General features: G+C 52.6%; 1 protein-coding gene across 3 annotated transcripts in view, besides 2 other annotated features; it reads right to left on the bottom strand.

Annotated features, from left to right (window-relative positions):
• TMPRSS2 (transmembrane serine protease 2) overlaps positions 2,851 to 20,171 on the bottom strand; it is a 43,854-nt gene continuing 26,533 nt past the window's right edge. The window contains exons 6-14 of one of the 3 annotated variants that reach the window (NM_005656.4): positions 19,022 to 19,148; positions 17,718 to 17,828; positions 15,123 to 15,166; positions 11,871 to 12,042; positions 10,352 to 10,527; positions 9,194 to 9,289; positions 6,942 to 7,084; positions 6,280 to 6,432; positions 2,851 to 4,699 (exon numbers count right to left, since the gene is read on the bottom strand). In NM_005656.4, coding sequence (NP_005647.3) covers positions 4,688 to 4,699; positions 6,280 to 6,432; positions 6,942 to 7,084; positions 9,194 to 9,289; positions 10,352 to 10,527; positions 11,871 to 12,042; positions 15,123 to 15,166; positions 17,718 to 17,828; positions 19,022 to 19,148 — 1,034 coding nt within the window. In that variant the 3' untranslated portion in view covers positions 2,851 to 4,687. The remainder of the gene's footprint in view (positions 4,700 to 6,279; positions 6,433 to 6,941; positions 7,085 to 9,193; positions 9,290 to 10,351; positions 10,528 to 11,870; positions 12,043 to 15,122; positions 15,167 to 17,717; positions 17,829 to 19,021; positions 19,149 to 20,171) is intronic. The other 2 variants (NM_001382720.1, NM_001135099.1) reach the window with 2 other exon arrangements.
• Positions 18,273 to 18,773: an enhancer, noted in NCBI's record as "H3K4me1 hESC enhancer chr21:42851654-42852154 (GRCh37/hg19 assembly coordinates)". NCBI's record gives its function as "activates a minimal SCP1, AML or CMV promoter by ChIP-STARR-seq in naive H9 embryonic stem cells {active_cell/tissue: H9 hESC(naive)}" and the evidence as "EXISTENCE:reporter gene assay evidence [ECO:0000049][PMID:30033119]".
• Positions 18,774 to 19,274: an enhancer, noted in NCBI's record as "H3K4me1 hESC enhancer chr21:42852155-42852655 (GRCh37/hg19 assembly coordinates)". NCBI's record gives its function as "activates a minimal SCP1, AML or CMV promoter by ChIP-STARR-seq in naive H9 embryonic stem cells {active_cell/tissue: H9 hESC(naive)}" and the evidence as "EXISTENCE:reporter gene assay evidence [ECO:0000049][PMID:30033119]".

Consider the following 20,171-nt stretch of genomic DNA (forward strand, 5'->3'; position numbering starts at 1 on the left):
CTTTACTTTATCCTCTTCATTTACATAGGGCCCCCAAAGTAACCAATGGAAACCTCTAGAGGGTATTTAAACCCCCCAAAAACTGTAATGGGGCCATTGAGCCCCTAGGCTCGGGCCGCTCCCACCCTGTGGTGTGTACTTTCATTTTCAATACATCTTTGCTTTTGTTGCTTCATTCTTTTCTTGCTTTGTTTGTGTGTTCTGCCTAATTCTTTGTTCAAGACACCAAGAACCTGGACACTCACCACCAGTAACATAAGCACTGGCTCAATGGTCCATTGACCTGTGCAGAACAGACAGGATTATAATGATGTCTGCTCAGGGACCTTCACTCCAGGCACATCTGGGGCTCAGGGGACCCCATAGGATGGGGCTGAGTTAGGAGCAGAGCAATGACAGGGCCAGGAGTGTATTGAACAAACCAAAGTAGAAAGCCCCAGTTTTCTGGAACCCAGGGTCTGTCATGCTGCAGGTGCTTAATAAATGCTGTGGTGCCATCCATGTGAGATGTGACTTGCTCCTCCTTGCCTTCCACCGTGATTGTGAGGCCTCCCCAGCCATGTGAGACTGCAAGTCCAATAAACCTCTTTCTTTTGTAAATTGCCCAGTCTTGGGTATGTCTTTATCAGCAGCGCAGAAATGGACTAATACAGTAAATTGGTACCAGTAGAGTGGGGCACTGCTGTAAAGATACCTGAAAATGTGGAAGCAACTTTGGAACTGGGTAACAGGCAGAGGCTGGAACAGTCTGGAGGGCTCAGAAGAAAACAGGAAAACGTGGGCAAGTTTAGAACTCCCTAGAGACTTGTTGAATGTCTTTTTTTTTTTTTTAATTAGATAGAGTCTCTTTCTGTTGCTTAGGCTGGAGTGCACTGGCACAATCTCAGCTCACTGGAACCTCCACTTCCCTGGTTCAAGCAATTCTCCTGCCTCAGCCTCCTGAGTAGCTTACAGTAGATCATGGGCACCTACCATCATGCCTGGCTACTTTTTGTATTTTTGTAGAGATGGGGTTTCACCATGTTGGCCAGGCTGGTCTTGAACTTTTGACATCAGGTGATCTGCCTGCCTTGGCCTCCCAAAATGCTGGGAGTACAGGGGTGAGCCACCACGCCCAGCCTTTTGAATGGCTTTGACAAAAATGCTGATAATGATATGGACAATGAAATTCAGGCTGAGGTGCTCTCAGATAAGAGATGAGGAACTTGTTGGTAACCGGAGCAAAGGTTACTCTTGTTATGTTTTAGCAAAGAGACTGGTGGCATTTTGCTCCTGCCTTAGAGATTTGTGGAACTTTGAACTTGAGAGAGATGATTTAGGGTATTTGGTGTAAGAAATTTCTAAGCAGCAAATCATTCAAGTAGAGACTTGGGTGCTGTTAAAGGCATTCAGTTTCAAAAGGGAAACAGCATAAAAGTTTGGAAAAGTTGCAGCCTGACAATGCAATAGAAAAGAAAATCCCATTTTCTGAGTAGAAATTCAAGTCAGCTGCAGAAATTTGCATAAGTAATGAGGAGCTGAATGTTAATCCCCAAGACAATGGAGAAAGTGTCTCCAGGGCATGTCAGAGGTTTTCACAGAAGCCCCTCCCATAACAGGCCCAGAGGCCTAGGAAGAAAAAGTGGTTTCATGGGCCAGGCCCAGGGTCCTTGTGCTGTATGCAGCCTAGAGACTTGATGCCCTGCATCCTAGCCACTCCAGCCATGGCTGAAAGGGGCCAAAATAGAGCTTGGGCTGTGGCTTCAGAGGTTGCAAGCCTTAAGCCTTGGCAGCTTCCATGTGATGTTGAGCCTGCCAGTGCACAGAAGTCAAGGATTGAGATTTGGGAACTTCTGCCTAGATTTCAGAAGATGTATGGAAACGCATAGATGCCCAGGCAGAAGTTTGCTGCAGGGTGGGGCCCTTATGGAGAACCTCTGCTAGGGCAGTGCAGAAGGGAAATGTGGGGTTGGAGCCCCTACACAGTCCCTACTGGGGCACTGCCTAGTGGAGCTGTGAGAAGAGGGCCACCATTCTCCAGACCCCAGAATGGTAGATCCACCAACAGCTTGCACCATGTGCCTGGAAAAGCTGCAGACCCTCAACACCAGCCCATGATGCAGCCAGGAAGGAAGCTATACCTTGCGAAGTCACAGAGGTGGAGCTGCCCCAGACCATGGGAACCCACCTCTTGCATCAGTGTGACCTGGATATGACAGATGGAGTCAAAGGAGGTCATTTTGGTGCTTTAAGATTTGACTGCCCTGCTGGATTTTGGACTTTTAAGGGGCCTGCAGCCCCTTTATTTTGGCCAATTTCTCCCATTTGGAATGGCTGTATTCACCCAATGCCTGTACCCCCGTTGTATCTAGGAAGTAATTAACTTGCTCTTGATTTCACAGGCTCATAGGTGGAAGCAACTTGCCTTGTGTTGGATGAGACTTTGGACTGTAGACTTTTGACTTAATGCTGAAATGAGTTAAGATTTTGGGGGACTGTTGGGAAGACCTGATTGGTTTTGAAATGTAAAGATACGAGATTTGGGGGGTGCAGGGGCAGAATGATATGGTTTGGCTCTGTGTCCCCACCCAAATCTCATCTTGTAGCTCCCATAATTCCCATGTGTTGTGGGAGGGACCTGATAGGAGATAATTGAATCATGGGGGTGGGTCTTTCCTGTGCTGTTTTTGTGATAGTGAATGGGTCTCACAAGATCTGATGGTTTAAAAAATGGGAGTTTCTGTGCACAAACTCTCTCCCTGCCTGCTGCCATCCATGTAAGATGTGATTTGCTCTTCCTTGCTTTCTGCCATGATTGTGAGGCCTCCCCAGCCATGTGGAATTGTAAATCCAATAAACTTCTTTCTTTTGTAAATTGCAGTCTTGGGTATGTCTTTATTAGGAGCATGGAAACAGACTAATAGAATAATAAGAAGGAGTCATTTGAGGGACCTCTCCAACAGGACAGGCTGCAGGAACTGAGGGCACCAACCACAGGAGCACCAAGTCTGGCCTTGCCTCACCTTTGGTCCTCTGACCAGCAGCCTCAACATCACCCCCTTATAAGGAAATGGAGGCTGGTCCTACTCACCAGGCAGAACTTCAAAGATGCAGTAGTTACTTTGAAAAAAAAATTGCATAATTTATTTGCATGATATTCATTTTCACAATTGAACTTTACAGTTTAAAAAAGATACAAAAAAAGACAAACAGTTGTTCACATAAATAAGAAGGGGCAATAAAGAAGGAAGACGTTTTCACCATTACAACACCTTTTAGGATGTGTCTTGGGGAGCAAGCACCTTACAGTGCCAACTGTTTCCAAGGTCCCTGGGAATGCTGCTCTCTACAGAGGCATGTGCACAGACAGATCCTGCAAATGGGATTGCATGACTTTCCATTTCAAGGTTAAGTCCTAGCTGTAGAATCATTCATTTCATTCTTGCAAACCAGCCTGCTTGGCCAGGAGGCAGAACCATGGTAGAGTAGTGCTCATGGTTATGGCACTTGGCAATGCAAAAGGGACCCTTCCCCTGGTTGGAAACCCACAGCATTGGAAGGGACCACAGAGAGTCCAAAACAAAACACATCTTTCTCTTCTTCGCCGCCACCATGGGCACTTTGCTTCAGCACATTCATTTATAGAACGTTAAGTCAGGAGCCAGTCATTTTGTCAAAGCAGCTGAAATAGGCCACCACTCTTACTTGGCAAAGATGATACAGTTTCAAAGAGTTAAATGAAGGTGGACTACTTGGAGACATCAAAAGCTAAGTTTCCAGGAGCACTGAGGTAGCAATGTGTAGAAACATAACATGGAAACAGTGTACCTTAAACTGAGCATCCTTGATTTCCCCCATGGACCTCAATTTCCAGTGACTAGCAGGCCTGAAGAGGCCAACATGGTGCCAGACTTGGCGCCCTGCCAGGACCAAGGGGCATGTGCACTCTCCAGGGTGCTAGGAGCAGGGTCAGGGAGGATGAGGAGGAAGGCTGAGTCTCCCTCCCAGGAGCCCCACCCAATGTGCAGGTGGAGACCTGCACCAGGAGTGCTCAGGGCAAGTTCCTTTTCAATTGCTTCCCTCGCACCAAGGGCACTGTCTATATTCTCACCCCATAAGAACAAAAATGTTTCTGTTCCCCTTACAAGTGACTACCACGTCACCACCCATGAAGGGCTGGTCCCTTTATTTCTGGCCACCATCCAGGGCTGCTAAGGCTCTAAGAACCCATCAGCAAAATCCCCTTGTGGAGAGGTAGGCTGGGGACACTACCAAGTGGCCCCAGAGGGCAGCCGCTGCAGGTGCCACCTGGCTGTCTCCCTTTCCATGTCTCTCCTTTTTCATCTCAAGTCATCCAGCAGCTGAGAGGTGACAGCTCCATGCTCATCCAAAATTGGCCCCTGGAAAGGACTCAGCAGGAAGATCTCAATGGGGCAGCCTCCACCCCTCTCCTCCACACTTGACCGCCAGTGCCCACAACCAGCCGGCCATCACCCCTTGCGGACAAGGGGTTAGGGAGAGCAGGCTGGGCAGGGGAGCCACTGCAGCCTGCACAGAATGGCAGAGAGTGCCAAAGCCAGACAAGTTCACTGTTTAATAAAAATGAAGTGACCTCTGAATCATCTCTAAGAGTAAATCATGCACGGGGAAGCAAAACCAGCCCCATTGTTTTCTTGTAAAACGACGTCAAGGACGAAGACCATGTGGATTAGCCGTCTGCCTGTTCAAATAGGAAAAAAAAAAGTGTGTTATTTTCTTAAGACAAACAAAGGTGGAAAATAATTTTTTCCTCTAGGTTCGCATGAAGCACTTAGAAACCAAATAAGCAAGCTTAATAGCACAAAGGGATCATTCTTCTCTCCAACGTGTTGGTCAGAGTCAGGCTGAGCATGGCGGGGCAGGAGCTCCGGAAGGAGCGGGCAGCGGATGTGGAGGCCGGCACAACAGGCATCTCTTCAGCAGAGTCTGGGCCTCCCCCGGCTGCTCTCCTGCCACGCAGCCCTTCCCTCCCTGCACAGCCATGCGGACCCACCTGCAGCCGCCAAACACACCTGGATCATTTCCTAGCTCCATCCTGGTGCGAGTCCGCCCCTCAGCCTGGCTGACCATCCCAGCCCTGCCAGCTTCCCTCCTGCCCTGCCTCCTCCTCCTGGGGTCATCTGTTTCTAGCACTGGGCCCTGGGCCAGGTGACGCCCCCTGGGCCCCATGGTCATGGGAAGGCCCTGAGTCCCGCGTGTCATTTGAAGGAGACACAGGTCGGGCCTCAGCGGGAAAGGCCCCCTGGTTCTGCTCCTCCTTCAACAGACTGGGCATCTGGGAGATTTGGGAGAAGACAGAATAGACTGCTTTCTTCCACTAGTAGCCCAGCCCCAGAAAGCACAGAAATCTGAGAAAACTATACGTCTGAGGTCCTGGAGATGAGAAGATCTGGTTCTCACCCCCTATCTGGACAATGCCCAAAGCCAGGGCTCTGCTAAGCAGAGACATCCATGAGGCTCACATGGAACCCCTGAGACCTTCCCTCGTGCTTGAGTCTGGGGCATCAGAGAACCCTGGCTGCTCCTGCCCTTCCTAACCTTGGGGGCTGCCCAGGAGCCACTCGATGGCCCCAGAAAAGGATGGGCACAGCCGGCTCTTCCCTCTGCTCTCTATAAATCAAAAGTTTCATGTGAGGCCGGGCACCGTGGTTCACACTTGTAATCCCAGCACTGTGGGAGGCTGAGGTGGGTGAATCACCTGAGGTCAGGGCTTCGAGACCAGCCTGGCCAACATGGAGAAACCCCATCTCTACTAAAAATACAAAAAGTAGCTGGGCGTGGTGGCGCATGCCTGTAGTCCCAGCTACTTGGGAGGCTGAGGCAGGAGAATCACTTGAACCCAGGAGGCAAAGGTTGCAGTGAGTCGAGATTGTGCCACTGCACTCCAGCCTGGGCGACACAGTGAGACTCCATCTCAAAAAAAAAAAAAAAAAGTTTGATGTGAGGTGGCCTGGGTGGAACAGCTGAGTCAGCTGAGCCAGAACGAAGTGTGGTTGGCAGAGCACCAAGGAATTTCACACAAGCTGAGCCCCAGCGCTTTTCATCCAAACACCAGGGGAAATATGCAAGTGAAGCCAGTGAGAGGCAATGGGCAATGGGTGGACACTGGGGGGATGGGGCTGTGGCTGGAGGAAGCAGAGTTTGCTTCATGCTGACCAGTGGTCACCAGTCAGCTTCCAGCAGCAGAACCACGCCTAACAGATGTCTGGCTTTGGCTCGAGGAATCGGAGAACACAGTCAGAAGGAGGACAGGATAGTTACCCTCATTTGTCGATAAATCCAGTCCGTGAATACCATCACATTCCCGTACACTCCTGGTCTGTAAGCTTTGGCACAGCCAGAACCCCAGCTTGTATCCCCTATCAGCCACCAGATATTGTTCTTCGAAGTGACCAGAGGCCCTCCACTGTCACCCTGTGGGACACAGCAAGGTACAGAGAGCAGAAAATCAAGTCACAATCTGCCGCACACCACTGACCAGGCCTAGAGGAGTTGGGGGGCGGGGGTCGCAGTGTGAGTTACGAGTGACTGTGTGGGCTTCGAATCTCCACCATCAAGGGGTGATGGTAACAGAGATGTAACCCCCAAAGAGATAGCCCCCATCCTGAATTTTAATCTGTTCAAGCTAAAAGTTACTAAATAAATTGCCGTTCATAATTTAAAATAGTCTAAATACTTGTTTCTGTTCCACTGGCACTTTTACCAAATACCGGTTTTTCAGAGGGTGTGTGTGATTTGTTGACTGTACTTCCTTCTGCCACCAGAAGCGTTCGCACTGTTTGTGGCCGTCACTTCCCATGACTGCCCCGAGCTGGCTCCGTGTCACTGAGGAGGCTCTGCTGACCCCAAGAATGCCCTCTCTCTCATGGGGGGTTCAGTAGGATCTGGTAAGGACCAAAGGTAGAATAAAAATGTTGAATTACCTGGCAAGAATCGACGTTCCCCTGCAGGAAGCCGGCACAGATCATGGCTGGTGTGATCAGGTTGTCATAGACATATCTGCTGTTGCATCTCTGTGTCTCAATGAGAAGCACCTTGGCAGCGTTCAGCACTTCTGAGGTCTTCCCTAAGGACAGGGAGACTTGTTGAGCTCCCAGTGTTGCCTGCAGCTCTCGCAGGGAGAGCACACTTCCCTCCCTGAGACCTCCACACGCACTACACAGATGGTCACAGCCCTATTTTCCAGCCCTGCCCCGGTCAGCTCATCCCAGCACCAACCCCTCTCCTGGGAAACCTGGATTCTCCTTACAACTGGCGGTGCCTGTGCTGAATGCAGCTCTGGAGTTCAGCTTCAGGGAAAGAAATTCCCAGCTCTGAAACTATAGGGCTCTATCAGTGCCATGGAATCCCCCTCTTATTCACCCAACGGCTTGGTTCTGCTGAACCAATTTCCCACTCCTCACTGAACCCCACCCAGGACACACAGGCGCCTGTTTCCCCTCTGGCATGCACACACTCTTCTGGAGCACACGTGACCCTCCCTAGGCCGCCTGCTTCTCGGCTCCCCTGCACATTAGAGCTTCTCAAGACACGGCCTGCACTTGCCACCTCTGCATTTCCCACTCTCGCTTTGCTGCCTCCCCTCGGGCATCTTCTGGGCACCGTGGGCTTAGTGTGCAAAACCAGAACCCTCCGTCACACCTTCTCCCACCCCAAATTCTCACCAACCAATATTTCCTGGCTTGAAAAATGGCACCACCCGCCACCCTGGGGCTTCAGCCACAGAGTGGAAAGCCATCGTCCCTGACTTCTCACTCTCTCTCCCACAGACATGCAACCCATCAGTAAGTCTGGTGGCTCTAGCCCTAGTGTACCCTCATCTCTTCACATCCACGCCCGCACTCTGCTATGAGCTGGCTTCCTGTCTCAAGGAACCACAGCAATGGACTTGTCACCATCATCCTCGTCTCCATCCATTCATCCCCACTCCCCACGCAGCTGCCAGATCATGGCACTCCCCGGCTCACGATCTCCCCACCTCAAGCAGATGAGAAGCTGGTGTCTTCACCATAATCCACAAGGACCTATGCAATCTGGCCCCAGCCCACCTCCTTGGCCCCTTGACCACACCTGAAGATACATGCACTAGCCTTTTTGATGTGTACACATTTTTGCCATTTGAGTCTCAGCTCAAATGCCACCTCTTCCGAGAAGCCTTTCCTGACCACCCCTTCAAAATAGCCGGGACCTTGTGATCCCCACCCTCAGATGTTTGGAAGTACCTCGCTCAGTTGTTTGTCTCCCATCTGTCTGACCACACCTGCCCCGTCCCCACCACCGACATCCAGAAGAGAGGTAAAGCTCCTGACAGCAGAGACATTTGTCTTACTCTGTTCACTTCTGCATTCCCAGCACCTGAGTAGCACCCAGCCTGTACTAGGTGCAGGTGCGCACAAATATTTGTCGATATTCCCTTCATCTTGGATTCCATGAGGTCTTTTGCCCAGCCTGTGGCTCTACTGTAGTAAGTTTCTGCTGATGAGGAGCCAGGATGCCCCCCACTACCTTCCCTGACGCTCCCCAGAAATCACCCAACCTTTGTACTTTTCCCCTTGTTTGAAAGGATTTGTTGTCTGTATGGCCTAGACGCTTTTGAGAAGGATATAAACAATATGTAAAATGAACCTTTGTGCCTGCCACTAAGCACTTCCAACCCTCCATAAAAATGAAGCAGCCAGGCTCCCTTCATTTGAAAGACTGTCAGAGAGAAATGCAGATTGCAAAGGAAGTGGGTGGAGAGAGCCTCTCTCTGTGGTTATCAGGGCAGAGGACAGGCTTAGATGTGGCCACCATGGGTCCAGGATGCCCGTCCTCACCAAGCCCCCTGTCACTCAGCCACGCAGGCCTTGGTGGGATCTCCAGGGCAGCTCTAAACTCACAATGAGTGCAACACAGGAGATCCTGCACCTCTAAACTCGTATGGCCCAGATACTTCAAAAGCCATTCCACATGCTGCTCTGTGTGATCACGATAAGAACACAGTGTATTAGGTAGGCTGGGCAGGATTTCTCCCACTTAGCAGATGGAGAAACTGAGGCACAAGGACTGGGGGAATCAACCAAAGTCATCCAGTCATTGAGTAGTAGAACTGGGATTAAAACCTGGACCTCCCACTTCCGAACCCAATGCTCCATCTGTGGGCCCTGCAGTCCTGTGTGCCCAGGAGCAGCCTCACCTTTCTCCTCGGTGGCCCCCCACCCGGAAATCCAGCAGAGCTGTTCTGGCTGCAGCATCATGCCTGGGTTGGGCAGACACACTGGTTTCACTAGGTCTGTTTCAAGAAGAGAAAACACAGTGAGCCAGGCGGGTATCACCTATGTCTCCACCTGGCCTTCCCACATGCAGGCTGCTGGGCCTGGCACCCTGGCCACCCTGCCCAGAGGACCCTGCATCCCAACAAGTCCCACATTCTCACTTTCTCCCCCTGCCAGACCTCTCCTTCTGGCAGGCAAGACGTTATGCTACTTATAAGTAGAATTATTTGCTAGCTCTGCTTATAAGAGGAATTATTTGCTAGCTCTGCTTCCAAAATTACATATCTCCAGGTGATCAAGACGGGAAAGACACACAGGAGGCAACAGCCAAAAAGCCGATGGAGTCAATGGAGTCAGCTTTCGCCCCAGAGGCACCACGCCATTGCTCAGGCATTCGCTCTTCTATATGTGAACCATTTCCCAATGTGAATACAGACATGCTGTAGGGAGGGCTGAGGTTTTGCTTCTTCTGTATCCACATGGGGCTAGAACATTCCAGACCCTTGGATGGACCAGAGTGGGACCGAATAAGAGGCTAAGAGAAAGCATGTTTGTCCTGAATTAAGCAACTTGGTTTTAGAATGTATCTTTAAAAATCAAGGATCTTTACACATTTTAGGCCAGTAGTTCTCAACTGGAAGTGACTTTGCCTCAAAGCGGATGTTTGGCAATGTCAGCAGGCAACACTGGTTGTCACAGCTTGGTAGCTACTGGCCTCCAGTGGGTAGAGGCTGGGGACGCTGTTAAACATCCTACAAGGCACAAGAGAGCCCTACAACAGAGAACCACCCAGATGTCAAGGGTGCTGCAGTGGGAAAGCCCTGTTCTAGCCTTTTCCATGCCTGGCTTGAATCACCACCACTCAGTACAGTACAGAACAGATGTGGTGGCTGCTGCCTCCCCCAAAATGCGGCAGGTGCTCTTAGCCTCTGTGAGCCTCTCCCATTGGCCACCCGCTGCACGCTACCCTCGCTCAACGCAAATGCCTCCCTTCCATTTGGCATAGCACAAGTGTCATTTCCAATCAACATCTCTTTAAGATTCTGCCAACCTGCTTGCCAAGCCTGAGCCACACGTACCGTTGAAAGTCAGAGGCTTCTGCAGCTTCATCAGCGCAATGTCATTGTTCTTGGTCTTGGAGTCATAATTTGGATGAGAAATCACTTTTTCTACTTGGTATCCGGCTCCATAGAACATGAAAGATTGTCTCAAAATCCCCGCAAATGCCGTCCAATGCCATGGATTGTTAAGAGGTCTGGGAGAGAAGAAGGACTCAGTATCTCAGAGCCATAAACACAGAGCTCTCAGTGGATGAACTTCCAACGTCAGAAGCTGGAGGCAAGACACCCAGAGGCAGGATGGTTCACCAAAAACCACACAGGGAGATAGTGGAAGAGGTGCTCGGTCTCCCCTTCTCCCCCACACTCCCCCAACCCCGACTCCCTGCCTCAGCCCCCCACATCATCCTTCTTTCTGGCTCTTGCATCACCTTCAAGGAATCTGCAGCACCCACAATGGGCCGACATCCCTCCCTGGGGTTTCAAGGCCATTTCTAGCAGGACTGGCCCTTATTTTCCTTTGTACGCCAAAGCATTTCCTGGCACATGGTAGGTGCTTAATAAATGGATACTAATGAACAGACTTGTCCGATATCAATCAAACCATTTCCTTTATCCAAGAGTTTCCCTCTTAAGAGAATCCCAGCTCCTAGTGGGCCCAGAGCACCCAGTGGTGTGAAGAGGGGGAGAGAAGGGAGCACCCTTGGGTAACAGCCCTTGAGAGAAACCCAGTTCCTAGAGGGCCCAGAGCACCTGGGGGTGTGAAGAGGGGGAGAGAAGGGAGCACCCTTGGGTAACAGCCCTTGCTTCCTTGACCTTCATAACAGCCCGAGAGGAGAAGGGCATGCCCATCTTATAGTTGTACATGCCATGGATCAGAGACGTTGAGTGAATCGTCTAAGGGCACGCAGCAAGAGAGGGCTGGGCCAACAGTCAAACCCAGTTCAGCCTCTCTCTAAGGCAGAAAAATACATCCGCCAAGTGAGGCCTCCTCCAAAGCAGCATGTGACCAAAAGCACTATGTGTTTAAGGAAAAGGGGAGGGGGTGGTAGCGTCCATAAATGCTAATACTGTCACGGCTAGCCTCACCCCTACCTAACCCTCTGCATGAGCAATGCTGTGGCCAAGAACGCTTAACCCCAGGGACCTTCCAGCAGGGCAGCCTGAAGCCTGTCTGAGTGTGCCCTCTCCTGGGACTAGCGTCCCGGAGACAGGATACCTCAGGGGGCAGGGGCTTTGCTCAAGGGCAGGACAGAGCTCAGAGGACAGTGGCTGGAAGGAACGCTGGTCACGGCGACATCGTGGAGAATGTTCCACCTGCACCCTGTGCCCTGCGTGCAGGGGACACTCAGTGCATACAGCCATGCACTGCCTGGCATGAGCGCACTTGATGTCTCACAGCCCTAGGAAGCAGGTGCAATACTCTCCCCATTTAAACACAAGGATGCCGGGGCTGCAAGGGTTGAGACCTGCTCAAGGTCACAGGGTGGCTGTAGGCCAGCCCTGAGCCCCCACCCGGCCCGCGCCGCCCCTGGCATACTTTTCCACGCAGTGGGCGGCTGTCACGATCCACTCGGGGGTGATGATGGAGCCTCCGCACACGTGGACGTTCTGGACGTGCAGGCTGACCTGCCAGGGCCAGGCCCCCGGGAGCGCGCTCTCGCCGCCCACAATCCTGCTCTGGCGGCTTGAGTTCAAGTTGACCCCGCAGGCTGAGGATGACAAACAGGAGGCCAGTGGGGTGAGACCAGCAGAAGCCGCCCAGCCACCCAGCGCCCGCCCCTCCCAAGGGTCTCCCAGGCTGCAAGGACAGGGCAGGGGCACCACTGCTGGGGATGGACTTAGGGGGCTCCTGGGGGTCTCCTCTTGGGGAAGGGAGGATGCCCCTCCAGCCCACCCAGACCCAGGAAGCACCACTTCCCTGAACACTCCTGTGATCCCATGGGGTCTCCCGGGACCCAGGTGGGGGTGTTCTGGATAACAAGGCCCTGGGGACTCCTTGAGTCTTGGAGGGACTGACACCACTCAGGGACCCCAGATTCTCACACAAAGAAAAGGAAGATGGGAGGGGCAGGGCTGGAAGTGAGTGAGGGGGTGAGGAGACGAGGAGGTGAGTGAGAAGGTGAAGGGGTGAGTGAGGGAGTGAGTGAGGAGTGAGGAGGTGAGGGGGTGAGTGGGTAATTGAAAGGATGAGGGAGTAATTGAGGGGGTGAGGGGGTAATTGAGGGGGTGAGGGGATAAGTGAGGAGGTGAGGGGGTGAGTGAGGAGGTGAGAGGGGTGAGGGGGTGAGTGGGGGGTGAGGGGGTGAGTGTGGGGTGAGGGGGTGAGTGGGGGGTGAGGGGGTGAGTGGGGGGTGAGGAGGTAAGTGAGGAAGTAAGGGGGTGAGTGAGGGGGTGAGTGAAAAGGTGAGGGGGTGATTGACGAGGTGGGGGGGTGATTGACGAAGTGAGGGGGTAAGTGAGGGGATGAGCAAGGAGGTGAAAGGGTGAGTGAGGGGGTGAGGGCATGAGTGAGGAGGTGAGGGGGTGAGTGAGGAGGTGAGGGGGTGAGTGAGGAGGTGAGGGGGTGAGTGAGGGGGTGAGGGGGTGAGGGAGTGAGTGAGGGGGTGGGTGAGGAGGTGAGGGGGTGAGTGAGGAGGTGAGGGGGTGAGTGAGGGGGTGAGGGGGTGAGGGAGTGAGTGAGGGGGTGGGTGAGGAGGTGAGGGGGTGAGTGAGGAGGTGAGGGGGTGAGTGAGGAGGTGAGGGGGTGAGTGAGGAGGTGAGGGGATGAGTGAGGGGGTGAGGGGGTGAGGGGTGAGTGAGGGGGCGAGGGGGTGAGTGAGGGGGCGAGGGGGTGAGGGGTGAGTGAGGGGGTGAGGGGGTGAGGGGTGAGTGAGGGGGCGAGGGGGTGAGTGAGGAGGTGAGCGGGTGAGTGAGGAGGTGAGGGGGTGAGTGAGGAGATGAGGGGGTGAGTGAGGGGGTGAGGGGGTGAGTGAGGGGGTGAGGGAGTGAGTGAGGGGGTGGGTGAGGGGTGGGTGAGGTGGTGAGTGAGGGGGTGAAGGGGTGAGTGAGGGGGTGAGTGAGGGGGTGAAGGGGTGAGTGAGGGGGTGAGGGGGTGGGTGAGGGGTGGGTGAGGGGGTGAGTGAGGGGGTGAGGGGGTGAGTGAGGGGATGAGGGAGTGAGTGAGGGGGTGGGTGAGGGGTGGGTGAGGTGGTGAGTGAGGGGGTGAGGGGTGAGTGAGGGGGGTGAGGGGTAAGGAGGTGAGGGGGTGGGTGAGGGGTGGGTGAGGTGGTGGGTGAGGGGGTGAAGGGGTGAGTGAGGGGGTGAGTGAGGGGATGAGGGAGTAATTCAGAGGGTGAAGGGGTGAGTGAGGGAGTGAAGGCATGATTGAGGGGGTGAAGGGGTGAGTGAGGGGGTGACTGAGGGGTGAAGGTGTGAGTGAGGAGGTGAGTGAGGGGGTGAAGGCATGAGTGAGGGGGTGAATGGGTGAGAGAGGGGGTGAGTGAGGGGTGAAGGGATGAGTGAGGGGGTAAGTAAGGGGTTGAGGGGGTGAGGGGGTGAGTGAGGAGGTGAAGGTGTGAGTGAGGGCGTGAGGGGGTGAGGGAGTGAGGGATTAGTGAGGGGGTGAGGGGTTGAGTGAGGAGGTGAGCAGGTGGGTGAGTGGATGAAGGGGTGAGTGAGGGGGTGCAGGGGTGAGTGAGGGGGTGAGGGGTGAATGAGGGGTTGAGTAGGGGGTGAGTGAGGAGGTGAGGTGGTGAGTGAGGGGGTGAAGGGTGAGTGAGGGGGTGAGGAGGTGAGTGAGGAGGTGACGGGGTGGGGTGAGGGAGGGATGAGGGGGAGAGTGAGGAGGTGAGGAGGTGAGTGAGGGTTGAGGGAGTGAGGAGGTGAGTGAGGGTTGAGGGAGTGAGGGGGTGAGTGAGGGGGCGAGGGGGTGGGTGGTGAATGAGAGGTTGAGGGGGTGAGTAGGGGGTGAGTGAGGGGGTGAGGGGTGAGTGAGGTCTGCTGCCTTCCCTGCTTCCTGTGTGTGAGTGTCTTCTCCACCAGGAGATGAGTGCATGGGCAGAGGGCAGGGCGGGTGCCACGCACCCTTGGGGCTGTGCTGGACCCCCACTCAGGACCTAAAGAAGACCTGAGCCAGCCCTGCCGGGATGGGACGGTGTCAGCTCCTTCCACCTCTTCAAATGAAAAGCTGAGCTCAGGACCACGGCCCCACGACAGCACTGGGCCATCCCAGAGGAGAGGGACGGTGGCTTCCACATTTGCAAACAGTTTGGAAACTGTAAGCACTCTAAACACAGAGATGGGGACACCCAAGTCTAAGCCACCGTCCAAAATTCAGGAGAGAAGAGGCAAGAGCACTGTTGTTCTCTGGTCTTGTCCCTCCTCCCGGGTCCCACTGGCTGATGAGCACCTGGTGGCCACACGGTGGTGCTGGACCACAGCCCCGCAGATGCTCCAAGTCCACGTTAGGTGGCTGCCAGGGCTCACTAACGCCACCCCCCTTTGCTTTCTGGAGAAAGAGACCTGCCGGGCCTCCAGCTCATGGGTGGCATAAAGTGTAGGGCTTTGTCAGCTTCTTGAGCGTGCCTGATCTCAGGGGGTGTCCCTTGGACCCAAGGCTGAAGGTGTCTACAGGCCATGGAAATCTAAACCAGGAGCTCCTTGGAAAGAGCGAGACGCCGCTGGGCACATTCCAACCCGTGACCCCACCTTCTTCCCTCCCACGCCCCCAGAGACACAGGGAGTACTGTTCTGAAAGTAGAGAGCTTTTCCTAGTTAGAAGTATCAAAAGGGGGACTCCAGATGAACTTACCTATACAGCGTAAAGAAACCACTGCTTTTGAAGAACAGGCATCACTGCAAAAAGAACAGGGGAAATTCTGGTCACGATAGTGCGGAGTCACCTGCCTCTCACATGCTTAGAAATCAGTCATTTCTTCCGATGTTCCCTCTCCTGTCTTCTGAGACATAGAAGGGTCTGCTAGTTACAACTCCAATAAGGTAAGTAAATCCATATAGGGACAGTGGCAAAGACCAGACACTGAGCCAAGGTACGCGGCTCACATCCCCACAGTGTGACCTTGGGCAAGTTACTTAACCTCTCTTAAAATTGTACCAGCTCCTAGGACGGTTGTGAGGGTAAGTATACAATAATGCTAGTTTTGTTTTTCCTCTTGGAATTTAAAATCATCTTCTAATTTTTAAGGAAGCCATTTGGAAACCTCTGGGCTCCTATAACTGCTTTAAATTTGTAGTGTTGAAAGCAATATAACCAATAGTTTCCCTAGGATTAGAAGAAACGTAAGAGTTACTCATTTGGGAGTCAAACATCCCAGGTTATGGATGAAGAGGAAGTAACTGATGCATTTTGTCCTGCAGTGAATTTCCCAGGCTATGCTGAGAAGGGAAGACGCGGCCCCTGGCATGCAGAGCTGGCCCGCCCTGATAGCTGGGCCGTGTGCTCTGCGGAACCTGAATTATTTCACTGAGCGTCAATATCGGACTAGGCCCCTCCATGCCTGAGATGGGGCAAGACACAAGGAGCCTCCTCCGAAATGATGTCTGAACAGACAGAACAGGAACCTTGTGCTCACAACCACAAAATCACGATCTGATGTCTCCTCCTGTCCTGGCTAACTTGAGCGACGGACGTTTCTTTACCAATCACAGCTTTAGCCTAGCCTCATTCCAACCTCCTCCTAGAAAAAAAATAATAAAGCAGCCTCACAGAATTACCCCTGCTTCCTGACAGCATCCAATCCAGAGCAAATCTCTGCTTCCTCCAACCACCCCCAAACCACCTTGCAGGAGCCCAGGCCCTACAATAATAGGTCCTTCCTGACACCTTCTTACTAAGGCACACCCCCCGGGTTCTCAGTGACTACAGGTGCATTCCAGGTGGACTCTGGCTCTGGGGCACTGACACGGCCAAGTGAAGACATGTCCCCTTTAAGAGAAGACATTTCCTAAGAATCCTAAGGTCGGTAGGGATAGCCCTGTGTGGTCACAGCGCCAGGGCACATGTGGTTATTCACAGAAGCCCGACAGAAAACAAGCCAAGAACTCAGGCATCAAAGGGCAACTGCTGCACAGAAAGAGGAAAAGAAGTGCGCCTCCCCCCACCACCACCACCGAGATAGAATAGAGCCTACCAGACAATGGCCTTCTCTTCTTTCTTCCAAGCCCTCCAGCCTCCTTGTGAGTTCCCAAGGCTCTTGCCAAGGGACGGCAGCACCTCCTCCCCTCCCCCCGTCCCTGCCCGGCTGGACTTGGCTCCCTGATTCCGTGTGTAACCCAGAAAGACAAAGAACCACTCAGCATTTACAAAGTGCCCAGGCAGCTGTGTTTAGCTTCTCCACAGGGACAAACCGCAGCCCTGCTGTTTTGATGGGTGCACCTGGCCGTGCACAGCCCTCCCCACTGGGCTTGCCCTGCCACATTCCCCAGGACAGCAGGCTGCAGTGGAAGTCAGGCCCCCAGACCCCTCCACCAGCGGCCTCCAGGAATGCAAACCTGCCCCAGGCTCCCACTCAGAGGAAAGGTGGCGCGGGGTGATTAGTTCATCCTCCCCCGAAATGCAGCACCTGGCACCTGGCAGGCAGGGAGGTGATGCCTAGACACCAGGCATAAGCCCTGGGGACCTGGGAGGCAAGGAGAGCTCATGGGCAAAGGACACTGTGTATCTTTCACATCAGAAAACACATAACAGCAACAATCATAGCAAGTCTGCAAACATCCTAAATATGTGCAAAGCAAAAGGAAGAGCCTAAGTCCATCCCCTCTTCTGCCCTCCCAGCCAGGTCAGCCACTCATCATGTGACCTGTGGCTTGTACCCACTTCTACCCCCTGGAAACACCACAACTCATTCCCAGGCCGCCAGAATGCTGCCCATCCCTCACAGAGCACCCTCTGGCACTGCTGTCCCGGGGTTGGGGCTAACGGGACCAGCCAGCCCAGCTGCCTGGAATGGAGCAGGACTTCCCTTGCTCAAGCCAGTGAAGTCCCTGGCAAACTGGAATGAGCCGGTCACCCTGGCTGGGACACTGAGACATTATCTTGGATTCCTAGAACCACGCCCTGACAAAATAGGTACACCTCTAAATGTCTGAAGAGGAAAGAAAACTAAATAGAGTTGAATGTCGATGTTGCAAGTGTGAGCCGCTACCAACAAGGGCAGACGGTAGAGGCTGAAAATGAAATAGCAGAGAAACCTCAGCCACTTCCTATGAATAAACCAAGGGCTGCTTAGAGTAACCAGGCCTGGTCAGACTCTAATCTCCTCCCAATGCAAAACCCATCCAGACCGAGTATTGCAGCTCAGAGAAATCAGACTCAGGACAACGATTCCCCATGGTGTCTCCTAGTTGATTTCATTCCAAAATTTTTCAAGAAGAAATTGCTGCATACCTGTGGTACAGTTTTTTATAGATATCGACATTGCCGGCACTTGTGTTCAGTTTCATAAAGCTGGTGGATCCGCTGTCATCCACTATTCCTTGGCTAGAGTAAAAATTATTCCTAAAAAAGAAAACCTTATTTGTGATAATGGTTAAGGCATAAGCAAACACAAATCCTATACTATGTCATAATACCGCTCATACGACATTCAGAATAAGAGGGAAAAACCTTAGCATTTAGGAAAAAAAATCACACGTTCTAACCAAGTGCTAGAATATTGTAACGATTTTTCGATTCAATAACCCTAAAGTGTCAGACAAAATTCCTTCATTGGTCGTGTTTCTTATCCAGGTTAGGATCAAGAAACTATGAGAAGGACATAGGATTGTATAATCATACACACATTTAATCTAATAAAAGGTACAGATGTTAACATGGCCCCAGTTATCAATTCCACCAGGTTCCTGGACTGTGATGGGGGGGCTTTGCTGTGTAATTCACCCCTGCTGTTTAGGGATGTCACAGTGACTAGCTAAGATGCCAACTTTCTCACCGAGTGGTAATTCATTCTGAAAACTGGCATATTGAATACCCTAAAGTTGCATAGAAATCACCTGGGGACCCTCCCATGGAAAACAAAGTGGCAGTAGCATCCTACCACCCTCTCCCCCGATGCCTGAGGGCTGCCGCATCTCCCCAGGCAGTGCTGGTAAATGGTAACCACCGCCCCACCCCCGTTAGGAATCACTGTCAGGCGACACACACCCTGTTAAGCCTTCCCACCTTCCCTCAGAGCTACGAGCAGGAATGACATTTTTTAAGTATCAGTCTGATTGATTGATTCTCTCCCCAGCTCAAAAGGCTTCCATGGCTCCCGAATGAAGTGAAACTGGCACAGGATTTGTCTCTGCTGCTCTCCCCAGCCCAACCCTCCTCGCCAGCTGTTCTGGTCCAACCTCTACCCAGGGAGGTGAATGGACCCTGGCTGAGAGGCACCTTGGAAAAAGAGGCACCTAACGCCCTCAGCCTACCCCTCTGACCAGATGACCACAGCACTGGGCACTCCCGAGCAACCAGGAGTCTATAGAGGCCAAGGAGGAGGCAGGGCAAGGTGGCAGTGAGCCAAGGTCTGTGTGCTGGGCACAGCCCTAGCAGGACAAATTCCACCTGCTGGTTATAGGGCTCAGCTTTTGGAAGGTGACAATTGTCCCCAGCACTCATGTGCCGGTGCTTTCACAGGGAGGCAGAGAGAGGGTCTTCTCGTGTTTCTGCTGTCTGTTACTGTCACTCGGCGGGTGCTGCCCCATACTCACTTATAGCCCATGTCCCTGCAGGCCGCCCGCCCGTAGTTCTCGTTCCAGTCGTCTTGGCACACAGGGTGCCAGGACTTCCTCTGAGATGAGTACACCTGAAGGATGAAGTTTGGTCCGTAGAGGCGAACTGCACGAGAGGGAGGATTATCCATGAGTTTCTTTCTTTTTTTTTCTTTTTTTTGAGACGGAGTCTCGCTCTGTCACCTAGGCTGAAGTGCAGTGGTCTGATCTCCACTCACTGCAGCCTCCGCCTCCCAGGTTCAAGTGATTCTCCTGCCTCAGCCTCCCGAGTAGCTGGGATTACAGGCGTCCACCACCCCGTCCAGTTAATTTTTCTGTTTTATTAGAGATGGGGTTTCACCATGTTGGCCAGGCTGGTCTTGAACTCCTGACCTCAGGTGATCCCCCTGCCTCGGTCTCCCAAAGTGTTGGAATTACAGGCGTGAGCCATTGCACCTGGCCTTGTCCCAACTTGTATCGTCCTAGCTGCTACCCAAGCCCCGCGCTCTCCACGGCTCCGGAGGTGGCAGCACAGTTCACTCTTCTCAAGGCACTGACCGCACACAAAGGGAGGCCACAAATCTATTCTTTTTCTGCTAAAAAGTGCTCTCTACACAAGAGAATTGAAAACAGGCATTGGGTCCAAAACTTGTACAAATGTTCACTGCAACCCTCTTAAAACAGCTGAAAGGCGAAAACACTCCAAACGCCCACCAACGGCTGGGTGAGCAGAATAGGATATGTCCAAGATACACAATGGAATACGATTCAGCCAGAAGAGGGAATGAAATTCAGACACAGGCTGCAACCTGGATGAGTGCTGAAGACCTTATGCTCAGTGAAAGGAGCCGGACATACTGCATGAGCCGACTCACATGGAATGCCACTTATATTGTGTGAGCCCACGTATTGCATGATCCCGCTCACATGGAATGCCTAGAGTAGGAAATCTATAGACACTAAGTAGATTAGTGGTTGCTTATGAGTAGGAGGGACGGGCTGGGAGGAGGGATATGGGGTGATAGTTCAAGGGCTTGGGGTTTCTTTATGAGCTGATGAAAATATGCTAAAATTGACTGTGGTGATAGTTGCACATATTCGTGAATATATAAAAGCCAGTGAATTATATATTTAAATTTTATGGTACATA

Source organism: Homo sapiens, chromosome 21, assembly GCF_000001405.40.
Source record: "Homo sapiens chromosome 21, GRCh38.p14 Primary Assembly".
Classification (NCBI taxonomy): domain Eukaryota; kingdom Metazoa; phylum Chordata; class Mammalia; order Primates; family Hominidae; genus Homo; species Homo sapiens.